The sequence below is a fragment of the Homo sapiens genome, chromosome X (assembly GCF_000001405.40).
Source record: "Homo sapiens chromosome X, GRCh38.p14 Primary Assembly".
NCBI lineage: Eukaryota > Metazoa > Chordata > Mammalia > Primates > Hominidae > Homo > Homo sapiens.
In genome coordinates, this window is record NC_000023.11 from 118,689,453 (window position 1) to 118,706,987 (window position 17,535).

The following is a 17,535-nucleotide window of genomic DNA, read 5'->3' on the forward strand; positions in this document are numbered from 1 at the left end:
ACACTACATGTATTAGGCATTAAAGTGTATATAGTTTAATGATTTCTTGAAGTGATTTGTCCTCTACAAATTAATTAACACCAAAGAATACATTTCTCCTATACTGATTGTTTTGCAGTTAAGCTTGAGTCCAATTTCCCCTAGAAGTTGTTGTTTTGATAGTCTTTGGACATACTGTGAAATGTGATTAAGTCACCCTTGGTAGTGTTAGTTTATCACTACGGTGAAAAACCATAGAGAAAATAAGAAATTCCATGGAAATTTTCCTAGTAACCAGTTGTCACCACTGGCATCATGTATATAGATGGGATTGTTATTGTTACCGTATTTATATGATTTGGCTGCCTATCAAAATATTATATATTTTCAAAAGTGAAACAGAAAGCAGCAGTGGTAGTAATGTCCTTGGAACCTTGACCAACAACACATCATCCTAGAACTAGAGATGACTCTAATTAAGAAACTAGATAAGTCATGATAATAAGAACGCACATTTTTAAAAAACTATTTCGTATCTTTTTTTCTTCTAACTTTTAGGTTCAGGGGGTACATGTGCAGGTTTGTTCCATGAGATATTAGCTTTCTCTGAGATGAAGAACCTGAGTGATATAATGGATTAATAGGAATTTCCAAACTCTTCAAAACATTGATAATTAGACATATGTCTTGGGCTTCTGATCTCCAAAATGTTGGGCTACCTTTAGTCTCAGTCTTGTTCTAACAGTACACTAGTTCAGCTATCAAAAGACAAGGAGAGGAAAGGAGTAAAAGTTGGTTGTGGGTGGGGAGTGGGTTTGTGTAACAAGGCTATACCCCTGTCTTGGGAGTTGGTGAGTAAGAGTGCTTTATTTATCTTTTTTTTTTTTTTCTAAGCACTTAATGGTCACTGTCTAAAAACAGTGTATCTATGTTTGTTCATCTCCTAATGGGAGTCGTGGCTAAGTTCTAAGATTTTGCCTCTGTGCATAGCATTTTAAAACTTTTCCAATGTTCTTTTTTTTTGCTTTGTTTTTCCTTTTTATTGAGATATAATTCACATACCATACAATTTACCCATTTAAAGTACACAATTCAGTGTTTTTTAAAATTACATCCACAGAGTTGTGCAAGTATCACTACAATTTAAAACATGTTTATCACCTGAAAGAGACCCCATACTCATTAGCAGTCACTCCTACCGGTCATCATCCTCCAGCCCCTGGCAACCACTAATCTACTTTTTGTCCCTACAAGGTTTACCTGTTCTGGACATTTCATATAAATGCAGTCATACAATATGTGGCCTTTTGTGTCCAGCTTCTTTGACATAGCATATTTCCAAAGTTCATCGATGTTGTAGAATGTATCAGTACTTCATTCCTTTTTATGGCTAAATAATAATCCATTATATAGATACACCATATTTTATCTTCTCATCAGTTGATGGACATTTGGGTTATTTCCACTTTTTGGCTACTGTGAATAATGTTGCTGTGAACACTCACAAGTTTTTGTGTGGACATGTTTTTAGTTCTCTTGGGCATGTACACAGAAGTGGAATGACTGGTTCATATGGTAACTCCATGTTTAACCTTTTGAAGAATTGCCAGACTGATTTCCACGGCAGCTGCACCACTTTATATTACCACCAGCAATGTATGAGGGTCCCAGTTTCTCAATATTCTTGACAACACTTGTTATTATCTGCCTCTTTGATTATTGCCATCCTAGCAAGTGTGTAGTATCTCTTTGTGGTTTTCATTTGAATTTCCCTGATGTCTAATGATGTTGAGAATTCTTTCATGTGGTTACTGGCCATTTTTGTATCTTCCTCAGAGAAATATCTCTTTTAAGTCCTTAGACCATTTGCTTTTTTGAGACAGGGTCTTGCTGTGTTGCCCAGGCTGGAGTGCAGTGGTGCGATCTCAGCTCACTGCAACCTTCCCATCCCGGGCTCAAGCGATCCTCCCTTTTCAGCTTCCCAAGTAGCTGGGACTACAGATGAACACCACCACACCTGGCTAATTTCTGTAGAATTGGGGTTTCGCCATGTTTCCCAGGCTGGTCCCGAATTCCTGGCCTCAAGCAATCCACCCACCTTGGCCTCCCAAAGTGCTGGGATTACAGGTATAAGTCACCGTTCCCAGCCCCTTAGCCCATTTTTAAATCAGGTTGCTTTACTATTATTACTATTATTGTTGAGTTGCAGGGTTCTTTATTCGAGATGCAAGTATATGATTTAAACATATTTCTCCTGTTCTGTGTGTTGCCTTTTCACTTTCATGATGGTGTTCTTTGAAGCATTCAAGTTTTTAAAAATTTTGATGCAGTCCAATTTATATTTTCTTTTGTTGCCTGTGCTTTGGCATTGTATCTAAGAAGACCTTGCGTAATCCAATTTCACAGAAATTTACACCTATGTTTTCTCTTAAGAGTTTTATAATCTTAACTCTTACTTTTGGTCTTTGGTCCATTTTGAGCTAATTTTGTATATGGTGTGTTGTAGGGATTCAGATTCATTCTTTTGCATGTGGATAACCAGTTTTCCCTGCACCATTTGTTGAAAAGAATCTTTCCCCCATCCAATTGCCTTGGCACCCTTATAAAAAATCAATTGACCAAAAATATGTGGGTTTATTCTGGACTCTTAGTTCTATTCTATTGACCTCTGTATCTGTCCTTACGCTAGTGCCACAAAGTCTTAATTACTATAGCTTTGTAGTAAGATTTTGAAATTTGGAAGTGTGAGTCCTCCAACTTTATTCTTTTTCAAAATTGTTTTGTATATTCTAGGCCCCTCGCATTTCCATTTTTATTTTATTTTATCTTATTTTTTTGAGACGGAGTCTCACTCTGTCCTCCAGGCTGGAGTATAGTTGCACGATCTCGGGTCACTGCAACCTCCACCTCTTGGGTTCAAGTGATTCTCCTGCCTCAGCCTCCTGAGTAGCTGGGATTACAGGAACATGCCACCATGCCTGGTTAATTTTTGTATTTTTGGTAGTGGTGGGATTTCACCATGTTGGCCAGGCTGGTCTCGAACTCTTGACCTCAAGTGATCCACCCTCCTCGGCCTCTCAAAGTACTAGGATTACAGGCATGAGCCACACGCCCAGGCCCATATTAATTTTAGCATCAGCTAGTCAATAGCTGTTTAAAAAAAAAAAAAAAAAAAAAAGGCAGGCTGGGCGCAGTGGCTCACGCCTGTAATCCCAGCACTTTGGGAGGCCGAGGTGGGTGGATCACGAGGTCAGGAGATGGAGACCATCCTGGCTAACAGGGGGAAACCTCGTCTCTACTAAAAATACAAAAAAAATTAGCCGGGCGTGGTGGCAGGTGCCTGTAGTCCCAGCTACTCGGGAGACTGAGGCAGGAAAATGGCGTGAAGGTGGGAGGCGGAGTTTACAGTGAGCCGAGATTGCACCACTGTACTCCAGCCTGGGCAACAAAGCAAGACTCCATCTCAAAAAAAAAAAAAAAAAAAAAAATGGCCGCTGGGATTTTGGCAGGATTTGCTGTGAATCTGTAATTCAATGTGCAGAGTATTGCCATCTCAATAATAATAAGTGTTCCAGCCCCCATGAAATAGGATGTTTTTCTATTTATTTAGATCATCTTTAATTTCTTTCAACAATGTTTTACAGTTTTCAGTATATAAGTCTTACACTTCTTTTGTTTATTCCTTATGCCCACAAGGAAGTTTATTCCTTAGTATTTTATCCTTTTTAATGCTATTGTAAATGGATTTGTTTTCTTTTCTTTTCTATTTATTTATTTATTTATTTATTTAGTGAGATGGAGTTTCGCTGCTGTGGCCCAAGCTGGAGTGCAATGGCGCGATCTTAGCTCACTGCAACCTCTGCCTCCCGGGTTCAAGCGATTCTCCTGCCTCAGCCTCCCAAGTAGCTGGGATTACAGGCCCATGGCACCACACCTGGCTAATTTTTTTGTATTTTTAGTAGAAACGGGGTTTCACCATGTTAGCCAGGCTGGTCTCAAACTCCTGACCTCACGTGATCCAGCTGCCTCAGCCTCCCAAAGTGCTGGGATTACAGGCATGAGCCACTGCGCCCGGCCTGATTTGTTTTCTTAATTTTATTTTTGGATTGTTCATTGCTAGTTTATAGAAATACAAATGGTCTTTGTATATTGATCTGATATCCCAAAATCTTGCTGAATTTCTGTATTAGCTTTAATCGTGTTTTTGGTGGCTTCTTTAGGTTTTTCTATACATAAGATCATATCATCTGCAGATATAGTTTTACTTCTTTTTAAATCTTGATGTCTTTTATTTTATTTTGTTACCTAGAACCTAGCTAGAACTTCCTGTATAATATTGAGTAGCAGAATTGCAGATAGCCTTGTCTTGTTCCTGATCTTTGGGAGAAAGCTTTCAGTCTTTCACCTTTCAGTATGGTGTTACCTGTGGGTTTTTTATGGATGCTTTTTATCTGGTTCAGGAAGTTTCCTCCAACATGTTTTGCATCTATTTTCTGATCCAATTCTCCTTATATATGTCATATAGGAATCAATTCTTCATGTGATCCTGTATCACATATAAGGAAATGGATGCATAAATGGTTAAGAAATGCACTCAAGACACGCAGGAAATTAGAGATGAGGTCACGGTATCCTGATTTATAGTCTATTGTTTTCAACTCTACTTTTTCCTTTGGTCTTCTGCTTCAACTTCTTGCAACTTTCTAGAGACTAAAAAGGGTTCATCTTTTCCACTTTTTCATTTAAAAGGTAACCTCCATATGGGTAGAGTCTGGATCTGAACTTTTCCACCTCTGTTTTCCCAGAACCTAGCACAGGATAAGTGCTTGAGCAGTCTCAAGGAAATAAAGCCAGTTTAGATAAACAGCACCCCTGGAGCCTTTATTATGTGCAAGGTATTGTGGGCAGATATCCCAGAACTCGGAGAGACTGTGGTTGAGGGAGATAACAAATAGTCACATTAAAAAGATATTATGGGCCGGGCATGGTGGCTCATGCCTATAATCCCAGCACTTTGGGAGGCCGAGGCAGGTAGATCACCTAAGGTCAGGAGTTTGAGACCAACCTGGCCAACATGGTGAAACCCCATCTCTACTAAAAATACAAAAAGTTAGCCAAGCCTGGTGGCACGCCTGTAATTCCAGCTACTGGGGTGGGGGGTGCGGGGGTGGGGGAGGGCTGAGACAGGTGAATCGCTTGAACCTGGGAGGCGGAGGTTGCAGTAAGCCGAGATCGCACAACTGCACTCCACCCTGGGCAACAGAGCAAGACTCGGTCTCAAAGTATTATGAAGAAGTCTGATAATAGCAAATCAGTGGTAGTTACAAGTGCTTGAAAAGGCAGAGTCTTTATAGATGTAGACTGAAAAAGGCTTCATGGAGGAAATGCCATGAATTTTTCTCATTTTTATTAGAACTGCCACTAGCGTGTCTGTGTTGAGGAAGTACTTTAGGCCAAGTTTTTAACAGGAAGTTTAAAAAATTAACTTCTTTATTTTTATCATTATATGAATTCCAACAATTAAAACCATCCGTAGTACACAATATGCAAAGCAAAAATAATAAAGTGCATATAAAATCAGGTAACATTCTTTATATGTTTTTTCTCAGACTCTCTCATCCTGTTTTGGTCTTAGACACAAGCCAAGTTAAATCAGCTTTTTCTTTTTGTCCAGAAAACTTATGCTCAATTTTCTTCATCCTCTTGATAGAAAACCTTTACAGCCAACCTCAGTCAATTTCTGATCGACAAGTCTCATTCTTTATATACCATAGTGTTTTGTAATAGTCATTACTTTAGTAGATCTCCTAGAATTGAGTCTTACAGGCTCTAGACTTCTCATCCTGCATGCTTACTGCATGTGCCTTTCATAGAAAATCAGTGAAAACTATCATATGAGCAGGTAAAGGCTGCAGTGTGGAAGCTGTAGACCATTCATTCATCCATCACACATTTATTGACCACCCACTGTGAACCAGGTATATGAATGATCAAGGCAATATTTCACAGGCAGATAATGCAGATGGGATGTTATAATCTAAAAGATAATTCAAAAGTAGTCTTCTTCTGTCAATAACGAATCTTCCAAATTCTGTATTCTTGAAGAGAGACATCTTATGTCTCTGATGAATGTGAGTAATAGTTCCTAGTACTGATATATTGTAACAATTAATATGTTGATTGAGAAGCAAAAGCTAAGCCATTATAGATGTGGAATTATGTTCAATGCAAAGCTGACCAGCTCCTATAGTACTCATGCAGTGGGTTATTTCAGAATTCTTCTGTGGCATAGTCAGGATTTGAGATACCTTCAGAGCCACGATGATATCATGTAATAGTACTATGTCCTCCCTCCCCATCCCAAACTAAATCTAGACACAAATACACATGCAATGAAAGAGGATTAGAGAGAAAGAAAGGTGGAGTTGACAAAATTATCCCTATCAGAACAAGGAAAATGAAAATGAAGCCGGGCATGGTGGCTTACTCCTGTAATTCCGGCACTGGGGAGGTCAAGGTGGGAGGATCACATGAGCCCAGGAGTTTGAGACCAACCTGGGCAACATGGCGAAACCACCTCTCTACTAAAAATACAAAAAATCAGCCAGGTGTGGAGGCATGCACCTGTAGTCCCAGCTACTCAGGAGGCTGAAGTGGGAAGGAAACTTGAGCCTGGGAGGCAGAGGTTGCAGTGAGCCAAGATTATGCCACTGCACTCCAGCCTGGGTGACAGAGTAAGACCCTGTCTAAAAAAAGAATAATAATCATAAAGAAAATGAAAGACTTCCAGAAGAAAGCATTGCTGCAGTTTGTTCCACAGCAACTCCCAAGTAGTCACAGAGCCAGCTGAATACAGTTCAGGTCACATGTAAGAGAATTTTTAAAAATGTACCCACATTATTTGTACAAACTTGTAGGGTACATGTGAAATTTTGTTACATGTATGTAATGCATAGTGATCAAGTCAGGGTGTTTAAGGTGTCCATCTCCCAAGTACATTTTTGTTTTAACTGTAGTCACCCTATTCTGCTATCAAACATTGAATTTATTCCGTCTATCTAACTGTACCCTTTAACCCACTTCTCTTCATCCTCCTTTCTGAAGAGAAATTTTCATGGAAATGATTTTGGATATTTACACAGAATGTTTTATTTTTTAAAACAAAGTAACCTCTCTAACCACCACCACCTCTTCTTTGTTGTAGAAACAAAACTCAGAATTGAAGTTTTAGCCCTGGAATATCTTCAGGAGGGGAAATTCCAGCTCTCCCCATTGGTTTAACCATCTTGTGATTTTTCTCATTTTTATTAGAACTGCCACTACCGTGATGGCCTCCAAGTTTATTTCATTATAGCTCTGTGACGCTAGATGAGACTGTTGGGTTGGGGGGATGCTGCCGGGGGAGGGGGGTAGTTAGGGGTACCCATACCTACCTGGGTGTTTTGGCTGCTCTCCCTCTAATGATTATTCTCATCTTGAGAGTTTTGGCATCCCTACTGTACAGCACATTTGTTAAGTATACAAATTCTGAAGCAGGTTGACTGGGTCAGAATCCCAGTTTTGTCATTTACCAAGCTGTGGGACCTTGGTCACATTACTTAACCCCTCTAGGTCTTCATTTCCTCACCTGTAAAATGCAGGTATGAATTGTCCCTACCTCCTAACATCGTGAGGATTCAATGAAGCCAAGTATATAAAGCATAGAGAATGATGCCTGGACTGGGCATGGTGGTGTGTGCCTTTAACCCTAGCACTCTGGAAGGCTGAGGTGGAAGGATCACTCCTGGAAGAGCCCAGGAGTTTGAGGCTGCAGTGAGCTATCGTGCCACTGCACTTCAGCCTGGGTGACAAAAGCGAGACTCTGTCACTAAAAATATAAAAATAATTTTTTTAAAAAAGGAATGCTGCCTGGCACATCTACGTAATTGTTACATCTATATATGTGTTATTTATAACTGTAATCTTTCCCCCACAGCATAGGATAATTTTACCAGCCATGATACCCTCTGTGTCTCTGGGCCCATCCCTCCATCCAGGTAGGGGTAATGGATGGGTCAAGGTCAGGCAATTTTTGCCATTTGATATCTTACAGGTCACCTCTGGCCTCCGTTGATCTCACCATATGGTGAAGATCTGTTCCCCCATGAAGGGACATTGTTTTCTGTGTGGTGGTATAAGTACCAACAAATATACACAGATGCTGGCTGTTAGCAACTAGTACTGCCATACTGGCGCATCTTGGCTGAATATCAGCCCTGCTCCTGTGTCTGTCTTTTTTTTTCTTTTCTTTTCTTTCTTTCTTTTTTTTTTTTTTTTTTTTTTTTTTTTTTGAGATGGAGTCTCGCTCTGTCGGCCAGGCTGGAGTGCAGTGGTGCGATCTCGGTTCACTGCAACCTCCGCCTTCTGGGTTCAAGTGATTCTCGTGCCTCAGCCTCCCAAATAGCTGGGACTACAGGTGCACGCCACCACGCCCAGCTAATTTTTGTAATTTTAGTAGAAATGGGGTTTCACCATGTTGGCCAGGCTGGTCTCGAACTCCTGATCTCAAGTGATCCACCCGCCTCAGCCTCCCAAAGTGCTGGGATTACAGGCGTGAGCCACTGCATCCGGCCCTGTGTCTGTCTTCTTGAACAAAGCCAGTGGCTTATCTTTATGGCTTTCTTGTGCATCTGAGGATTGATGAAAATTCCCATGTGCCACCTAACTATAGGATTTCTCTGCTTACTGGCACTTCCTTTGGCTTTGTTACACTACCAGAACTACACAGAAAGTGGTTTTGGATTTGAAATTCAACTAGTGGGACTTGCTCAGTATTCCCTCCATAGAGAGCCTCTCATACACAGTCTCCTACAGTTAAGTTTAATTTATTCCCCTCATTTGGATTTCCCTGTCACTGGTCACAGATTGCTATTTTATGGCTCTCAAGTAGATCAGAAAGGTTTTCAGAGTTCCCCTTCCCCACCTCCTACCCACTTCTCTGTAACGACAGACACCCTTTAAGGGAAACTTGGCCCAACCAATATTATTTGAAGACATTTCATTCTCACTTAGGTAATGGGGCTTGGAGTTGAGGTCTACCTTTTTGTTGCTTTCTAGTAAAGCACTGACCCCTATCTCACAGTACTCTCCTAAGCCCTGTCCTCCCTGACAACTTAGTTGCTTTATCTTTCCAGGAGCACCCTCACATTCCTATATTGTGCACACTCAAGACAATTTCCCAGTGTCCACTTCCTGGCTGAATCAATTTCCACAACCATGACGTGTAACTCCAGCTCATCTCACCAAAGGGCATTTTAGCAAGTCACTGCAGATGCTGCAACTCGGAAAAACACGTTTAGTTAGGATCTGATGAGTCTTCTCCATTAGATAAATGTTGTGAGGTGGAACTTACTGTAATTTCCTTCTCTCCACCCAAGATCTAAAATTTTTCTCTGAGTTGGCTCCCTCTCTACCTTCAGTCTCCCTTCCTGGAAGATTTACCCCAGCAAGGATGTCTTCTTTCAGATGGATATGAGTAAGTTAGTTTCTGCCCTCGTTCTGTTTCTTCCTTCTCCTGCTCTGATGTTGGCACATCCTTAGGAAGTCAGCTACTCCACCCCCTCTACCAAGATGTGGCCCAATGAGGGTAGGGTATCTTTCACTTCCCCTTTCTGGGAGGCCGACTGGCCAAGACTGAACTACCTAGACCCCCCCACCCTTACCACTGTCATTCTACTCACTGACCCCACATGCTCATTTTTTGGTTGTTTGCTCCACTGTCCCTGAGATCTTAGAGGAGGGGTTCTTAACTGGGGGTGGTTTTACCCCCTAGGGAACATTTAGCAATGCCTGGAGACATTTTTGGTTGTCACAACTGGGGCAAAGAGGTTGCCACTGACACCTAGTGGGTAGAGGCCAGGGATGCTGTTAAACATCCTACTATGCACAGCTAGCCTCCTACAACAAAAACTCACCTGGCTCCTGCTATCAATAGTGCAGATGTTGAAAAACACTGGCTAGAAGGAATGCCTGCCTCACTGGAATGTGTGATGCCTACTCCACCGCTGGTTTGTCTTCAAGGAGCCTTTTGCTGGTCAACTCACCAATAAATCCACTAGGAGATCTCTCCCATTAATAGCTGTTTGTACCCTCATTTACATCTGTCTGCCCCCTCACATGTTTGCATGCCACAAGTAATGGTGGTCTGCTCAACCTTCATTCCTAACTCTGCACTTCATCTGCAGGTTGGCCATACTCAAGAACCTGAAGGTGCTCAGGATCTGCTTCATGATCTCCGTGGCTATCCCTTTCACTTTCCGGTGAAGTAAAGGCTTTCTCATTACTAGAAACCATCCAAGTTAACTAGGCCATACAATTACAATGTCATTGCTACTACCACCTATGAAGCAGTATAGTTTATTTAATAAAACAAAACCTAAGACCTCTAAGTTATTAGCCCTGAAGGAGAAGCAGTAAGTCGGGAGGACTTGTCTACTGAAGGACAAAAACAAACTCCCAAATCAATGGAGAGACATATTTTGTTAGAATTATAAATATGTGACTTCTCTCCTTAATATCTGTCAATTCAATGCCACCTTAGTCAAAATCCCAGAAGGATTATTATTATTATTATTATTATTATTATTATTATTATTATTATTATTTTGAGATGGAGTTTTGCTCTCTTGCCCAGGCTGGAGTGCAGTGGCACGATCTTGGCTCACTGCAACCTCCGACTCCTGGTTTCAAGCGATTCTCCTGCCTCAGCCTCCCCAGTAGCTGGGATTATAGGTGCAACACGCCCGGCTAATTTTTGTATTTTTAGTAGAGACAGTGTTTCACCACGTTGGCCAGGCTGGTCTCGAAATCCTGACCTCGTGATTCGCCTGCCTCGGCCTCCCAAAGTGCTGGGATTACAGGCATGAGCCACTGCACCTGGCCAGGATTTTTTTTTTTAACTTGGCAAAATGATTATAAAATTTATCAGAAGCACCTGAAGTCCCAGCTACTCAGGAGGCCAAGGTGGAAGGATTGCTGGAGGCCAAGAGTTCAAGACTATCCTGGGCAACATAGCAAGACTCTGTCTCAAAAAAAGGAAAATTGAAATAAAAAATAAAATTTATCAGAAGGAATCAAGATGTAAAAACAGCTAAGAAAATACCAAAGAAGAGGAGTAAGGAGCCCTGGCAGACATTAAAATGAATAATGTAGCTAATTAAAATTGAACATTTTACCCATAAAAATTAAACCTAAAAATAAATTGGACATTTACTAATAGAGAAATAGGCAGAAGGATGTAATAGGACACAGAATCTGTATGTATATAAAAATGTGTATGATAAACGTTGGATTTCTGCCGGGCGCAGTGGCTCACACCCGTAATCCCAGCACTTTGGGAGGCCAAGGTGGGTGGATCACCTGAGGTCAGGAGTTCGAAACCAGCTAACATGGGGAAACCCCATCTCTACTAAAAATACTAAAAATTAGCTGGGCATGGTGACACAAGCCTGTAATCTCAGCTACTCCGGAGGCTGAGGCAGGAGAATCGCTTGAACCCAGGAGGTGGAGGTTGCAGTGAGCCAAGATCGTGCCATTGCACTCCAGCCTGGGCAACAAGAACAAAACTTGGTCTCAAAAAAAAAAAAAAAAAAAAAAGTTGTATTTCAAGAAATAACAGTGTCAAGATCATTCAATAAATGGTGTTGGAATAATTAGGTAAGCATTTGCACCTTTTTTTTTTTTTTTTGAGACGGAGTCTCGCTCTGTTGCCCAGGCTGGAGTGCAGTGGCACAATCTTGGCTCACTGCAACCTCCACCTCCTAAGTTCAAGCGATTCTCCTGCCTCAGCCTCCTCAGTAGCTGGGATTACAGGTGCGTGATACCACACTTGGTTAATTTTTGTATTTTTTAGTAGAGATGGGGTCTCACCATGTTGGCCAAGCTGGTCTGGAACTCCCGACTTCAAATGATCCACCCGCCTTCGCCTCCCAAAGTGCTGAGGTTACAGGCATGAGCCATTGCACCCGGCCTTATGCACAAAATTTAAGGGCTCTCTATTTACACAAAAATAAATTTCAAATTGATTAGAGATTTAAATGTAAAAGACAAGATCCTTTAAAAACTAAAACTGGGCATAGATTATTATATGTGCAGTAGAGGTGAGGAAAGTCTTTCTAAAGAAGACTTAAAAACCAGAAGTCAAAAGGAAAAGCAATTAATACATTTGATCATATAAAATTTAAATTTAAAAAGATTATAGGCTGGGCATGGTGGCTCACACCTGTAGTCCCAGCACTTTGGGAGGCTACGGTGGGAGGATCATCTGAGGCTAGTTCGAGACCAGTCTGGCCAACATGGTGAAACCCAGTCTTTACTAAAAATACAAAAATTAGCTGGACACAGTGGCATGTGCCTGTAGTCTCAGCTACTCAGGAGGCTGAGGCAGGAGATTCACTTGAACCCTGGAGGCGGAGCTTGCAGTGAGCCAAGATTGCACCACTTCACTCCAGCCTGGGCGACAGAGCGAGACTCTGTCTAAAAAAAAAAAAAAAAAATTATAAAGTCAAAAGGAAAATAATAGTAAAATATTTGTAGTATACATGATAGGATAAGGATAAATATTCTTACTATAAAAAGAGCTCTTACAAATCAATAAGATGAAATTTCTCAATAAGAAAACGGGTAGGCTGGGTGCAGTGGCTCACACCCGTAATCCCAGCACTTTGGGAGGCTGAGGTGGGTGGATCACCTGAGGTCAGGAGTTCGAAACCAGCTAACATGGGGAAAACCCATCTCTACTAAAAATACTAAAAATTAGCTGGGCATGGTAGCACAAGCCTGTAATCCCAGCTACTTGGGAGACTGAGGCAGGAGAACTGCTTGAACCCAGGAGGCGGAGGTTGCAATGAGCTGAGATTATGCCACTGTACTCCAGCCTGGGCAACAGAAAAAGACTCCTTCTCAAAAAGAGAAAGAAAAGAAAATGGGTAAAGAACGTGAATAGGCAATTTGCAGAAGAAAAAATTCAAGTGGTCAATAAACATAGGAACTAATGTTCAATTTTATTATTAAATAAATATGAATTAATACTAGACAAAGGAGGAAATATCTTTTTTAAACTCTAAGAAGAAACAAAATGATAAACATCTGAGATATCTAGTCTAAAAAAAGGTTGGTACAACTTCAGAGACACTTTATCTGGGTTCCTTGCTTTTTCTCTCTGCTTCTTACTCCCCATAAACCTACTTCTCCCCACAGGAGGTGCCTTCTAGACATCTTGACATCGTGGTGAAGATGGAAAGAGTGTTTTACTAGACATGCCAAGAAAGGCTCTCCCAGTTCAAGTTTGCTTGTTTGGTTGTTTTTTTGTTTTGTTTTTTGTTCGTTTGAGAGACAGACCTTTTTACCAAGGTGGCTAACACAAAGAATTAACTTGTCCAGCTGAGAACTCACCCCTGAGTCACAGAGGTTTATGTTACTCTGGTTAACTCAAACATAGAACCACAACTAAGCAAACCGCAACAACTGCGGCATTCATAAAACAAGAATCATGCTTAGGCAGTCATTTAAGTGGGCTCATCACAGGACAGTAAATAATGACAAAAGAAAGCAGGGTGTGGAAGGGAATTGTGATGTTAATAACTCGTACAATGCTTAAATGCATGCCCGGCACTGTTCTAAATTAAATCCTTCAATGATCACTACAACTTTGTTAGGTAATGACACATATCCCTCATTTTATGAATGGGGAAACTAAGGCACAGCAAAGCTAGATAACTTGTTTGAGATCACACAATCGGTGGCAATGCTGGAATTTGAACCCAGAGAATCTGGTGTAACAGTTCACACTCAAGCCACCACTTTGAGAGGAATCAAGGGAAAAAGAAGAGAGATCTAAGAGAATAAAAAGGGGAGGAAGGAGGAGGAAAAACTCAGCTCACTAACACCTGAAGGCAATTGCTACATGGTACCCAGCCTCCTTTTTCAGGCCCACACCCAGGTCTTTGCAGTCCCCACCTCTACCTCTGTTATCAAGCTTCCTAAAATGACATGATTTGGGGATAAGTGTTCAAACTATTTTTTTCACAAATAAATGGTGTCCAGAGGAATTGATGTTGTTTCTTTTTTCTTTTTTTTTTTTTGAAATGGAGTCTCGCTCTGTCACCCAGACTGGAGTGCAGTGGCGTGATCTCCACTCGCTACAACCTCTGCCTCCCAGGTTCAAGTGATTCTCCTGCCTCAGCCTCCCAAGTAGCTGGGATTACAGGTGTGTGCCACCACGCCCAGCTAATTTTTGTATTTTTAGTACAGACAGGGCTTTGCCATGTTGACCAGGCTGGTCTCAAACTCCTGTCCTCAAGTGATCCGCCTGCCTCGGCCTCCAAAGTGCTGGGATTACAAGCATGAGCCACTGCGCCTGGCCTGATATTGCTTCTATTGTATCTTAGATTCAGGGGGTACATGTGCTTGTCTGTTACATGAGTATATTCTGTACTGGGAGTGGGCTTCTAGTATAGCCATTACCCAAATAGTAAACATTGTACCTGATAGGTAATTTTCTAACTCTCTCCCCAATATAATAATAATAATTATTATTATTATTATTTTTGAGACGGAGTCTCACTCTGTTGCCCAGGCTGGAGTGCAATGGCATAATCTCGGCTCACTGCAACCTCCGCCTCCTGGGTTCAAGCGATTCTACTGCCTCAGCCTCCCGAGTAGCTGGGATTACAGGCACCCGCCACCACTCCCGGCTAAGTTTTGTATTTTTAGTAGAGACAGGGTTTCACTATGTTGGCTAGGCTGGTCTTGAACTCCTGACCTCAAGTGATCTGCCCGCCTCAGCCTCCCAAAGTGTTGGGATTACAGGCATGAGCCACCGTGCCCGGCCTTATTATTTTTTATATTACAAACAACAATTGTTTTCAGAAGGAATCCATGTGAATTCAGGAATATAAAAATGCTGCCTTGGCCAGGCACCATGGCTCATGCCTGTAATCCCAGCACTTTGGGAGGCCGAGGTGGGTGGATCACGAGGTCAGGAGTTCAAGACCAGCCTGGCCAACATGGTGAAACCCCATCTATACTAAAAATGCAAAAATTAGCCAGGCATGGTGGTGTGTGCCTATAATCCCAGCTACTTGGGAGGCTGAGGGAGGAGAATTGCTTGAACCCAGGAGGCGGAGGTTGCAGTGAGCCAAGACCACGCCACTGCACTCCAGCCTGGCAGCAGAGCAAGACTCCGTCTCAAAAAAAAAAGAAAAAAAAAGCTGCCTTTTTGGTTTCAGTTTTCTTCCCTCTGCCTATGTGCAACCTAGAGCACCAAAATCAGAAGATCCATTCATGCCTTTTCCGCAGCACTAAGCTATAATTTAAACAGGAAAAGGCAAAGTTGCAGCTTTTGAACAGCCATAAGCCCTTACATCCTAGTAAGATGGCAGACTAAATTGTAGATAACTCCAGCTTCTCAAATTCTTAAAAGCCCTGTAGTCTTCATCCACCCTGTGCCATGTCTTTAGGATTCTATAAGACAGTAAGACTTTATTTCTAAACCAACTACTGAGATTGAAGATAAAATTAGAGCTTTAAGCCCCTTACCAAATTAATGGGAAGAGACTCTGAAAATTTAGAAATTCACTTCTGGAGTAGTGGAAGAATGGCGAAATTCACCTACTCAGTTTACAGTGGGGCCTCTCTCCAAGTTCGAGAGCCTGACACCCAGCTGTTTGCTGAGCTTCTCTCCTTAGGTGATCCACAGGCACCTCACAATCACCATGCTCCTCTTTCCTCTCAACCTGCTCCTCCTCCTCTGTTCTCCGTCTCAGTTGAGGACACCCCTTCCTATCCAGTGACACTGGCCAGAAATTTACAAGTCACCTAGACTAGTGGTCAGTAAGCTTTTCCTATAAAGGACTATTTATAGAAATATGTGAAGCTGGCGACAGAGTGAGACTCCGTCTCAGAAAAAAAAAAAAAGAAGAAATATGTGAAGCTTTGCAAGCCATACACTCTCTGCTGCAGCTACTCAACTGCTGCTGCAGGATGAAAACAGCTACTGAACAATATGTAAGAAATGGGCAGGGCTATATTCCAGTCAAATTGTGTGAGTGCTAAAATTTGGATGTCATGTCATTTTCATATGTTACAAGATATTCTTTTGAGTTTTTTCCAACCACTTAAAAATGTAATAAACCACTCTTAGCTTACAGGTTGTACAAAAGTAGGTGGGCTAGATTTGGTATATGAAGAGCTTGCTGCTCTAGAATCCTCACTCTCCTCCCTTCCCCACATCTGATCAGACAAGTCCAACAATCTCACTTTGTTTTCTTTTTTTTTTTTTTTTATCTGAGAAGGGGGCCTTACTATGTTGCTCAGGCTGGTCTCAAACTCCTGGTCTCAAGTGATCCTCCTGCCTCAGCCTCCTGAATAGCTGGGACTACAGGTGTGCACCACCATGCCTGGAGATCTCACTTTTTAAATGGTTATTGAATCTCTTCATCCATCTTTACATCATTTTAGTTCAGGTACTTGTCCATTTTGCTTTTTTTTTTTAATTTTTGAGACACAGTCTCGCTCTGTCACCCAGGCTGGAGTGCAGTGGCACAACCTCGGCTCACTGCAACCTCTCCACCTCCTGGGTTCAAGCGATTCTCCTGTCTCAGCCTCCAGAGTGGTTGGGATTGCAGGCACGCACCAAGCCCAGCTAATTTATTATTTTTTTTTTTTTGTATTTTAGTAGAGACGTGGTTTTACCCTGTTGGCCAGTCTGGTCTCAAACTCCTGACCTCAAGTGGTCTGCCCACCTTGGCCTCCCAAAGTGCTGGGATTACAGGCATGAGCCACCGCGCCAGGCCCATTTTGCTTTCTGACATAGACAGTTAAGCAAAATTGAAAACTACAAGGAAAGATCCTCTACAACTATCGTACATGGAAGTACATGTCCTTCCCATGTTTTTTTAAGTTCCTTATAGTGTATAGCATAAGTTACAGATTAGTTTGCCCCTTCCTTCAGCTGGCACTGGATAAATAATATGTTAATGCATGCCACCATTTTCTGCTGTGGCCTGGGAAGAGAGGGCATATGATGCTCTATCAGCTACCTCCAGTGAAAGGGTCTACAAAGCAGAGAGTGGGAGACAGCATTTGAGAGCATGCTGGCTGTTTCTAACCTCAGGGGCTGGCTGGACTATGTCTGGCCCCTTCTTTCCAGTGGTCTCCACACTGGATATTCAGATCTGCTTTCACTTGGAACCACACATCTGCATGTGGCTAGGACCCAGCTAATCTGCCAAGGACATTTGAGGTGTTTGCTCCTCAATTTCTAGTTCTCTGCCCCATCTATACCTTTGATGAGGCATTGGACAGCAATAGCATTCTTGTCTGGAAACATGACCGGCGGGCAAATATCAAGGGAGCTAGTGCCACCTACATGATGACAGTCACCACATCATGGTGACAGCGAGCAAGAGACATTAGGTAAACCACTCTTTGATGTCATTCCTTCTGTGTAAAGGGGAAAAAGAGGAAATCCAATCTAGTTCCTATTTTATTCAATTACTGGAATATAAGAAACATTTC

The 17,535-nt window shown here is 41.9% G+C and overlaps 1 long non-coding RNA gene across 1 annotated transcript, besides 1 other annotated feature; it reads left to right on the forward strand.

Moving 5' to 3' along the window:
* Positions 7,847 to 8,076: a silencer, noted in NCBI's record as "fragment chrX:117831262-117831491 (GRCh37/hg19 assembly coordinates)". NCBI's record gives its function as "represses an EF-1alpha promoter that drives an FKBP-Casp9 reporter gene in an ReSE screen in K562 erythroleukemia cells {active_cell/tissue: K562}" and the evidence as "EXISTENCE:reporter gene assay evidence [ECO:0000049][PMID:32094911]".
* On the forward strand, positions 8,534 to 14,066 carry LOC124905207 (uncharacterized). The gene is made up of 2 exons (XR_007068306.1): positions 8,534 to 10,277; positions 13,216 to 14,066. It is a non-coding gene; the product is annotated as an uncharacterized LOC124905207 (long non-coding RNA).
* The last annotated feature ends 3,469 nt before the right edge of the window (positions 14,067 to 17,535 follow it).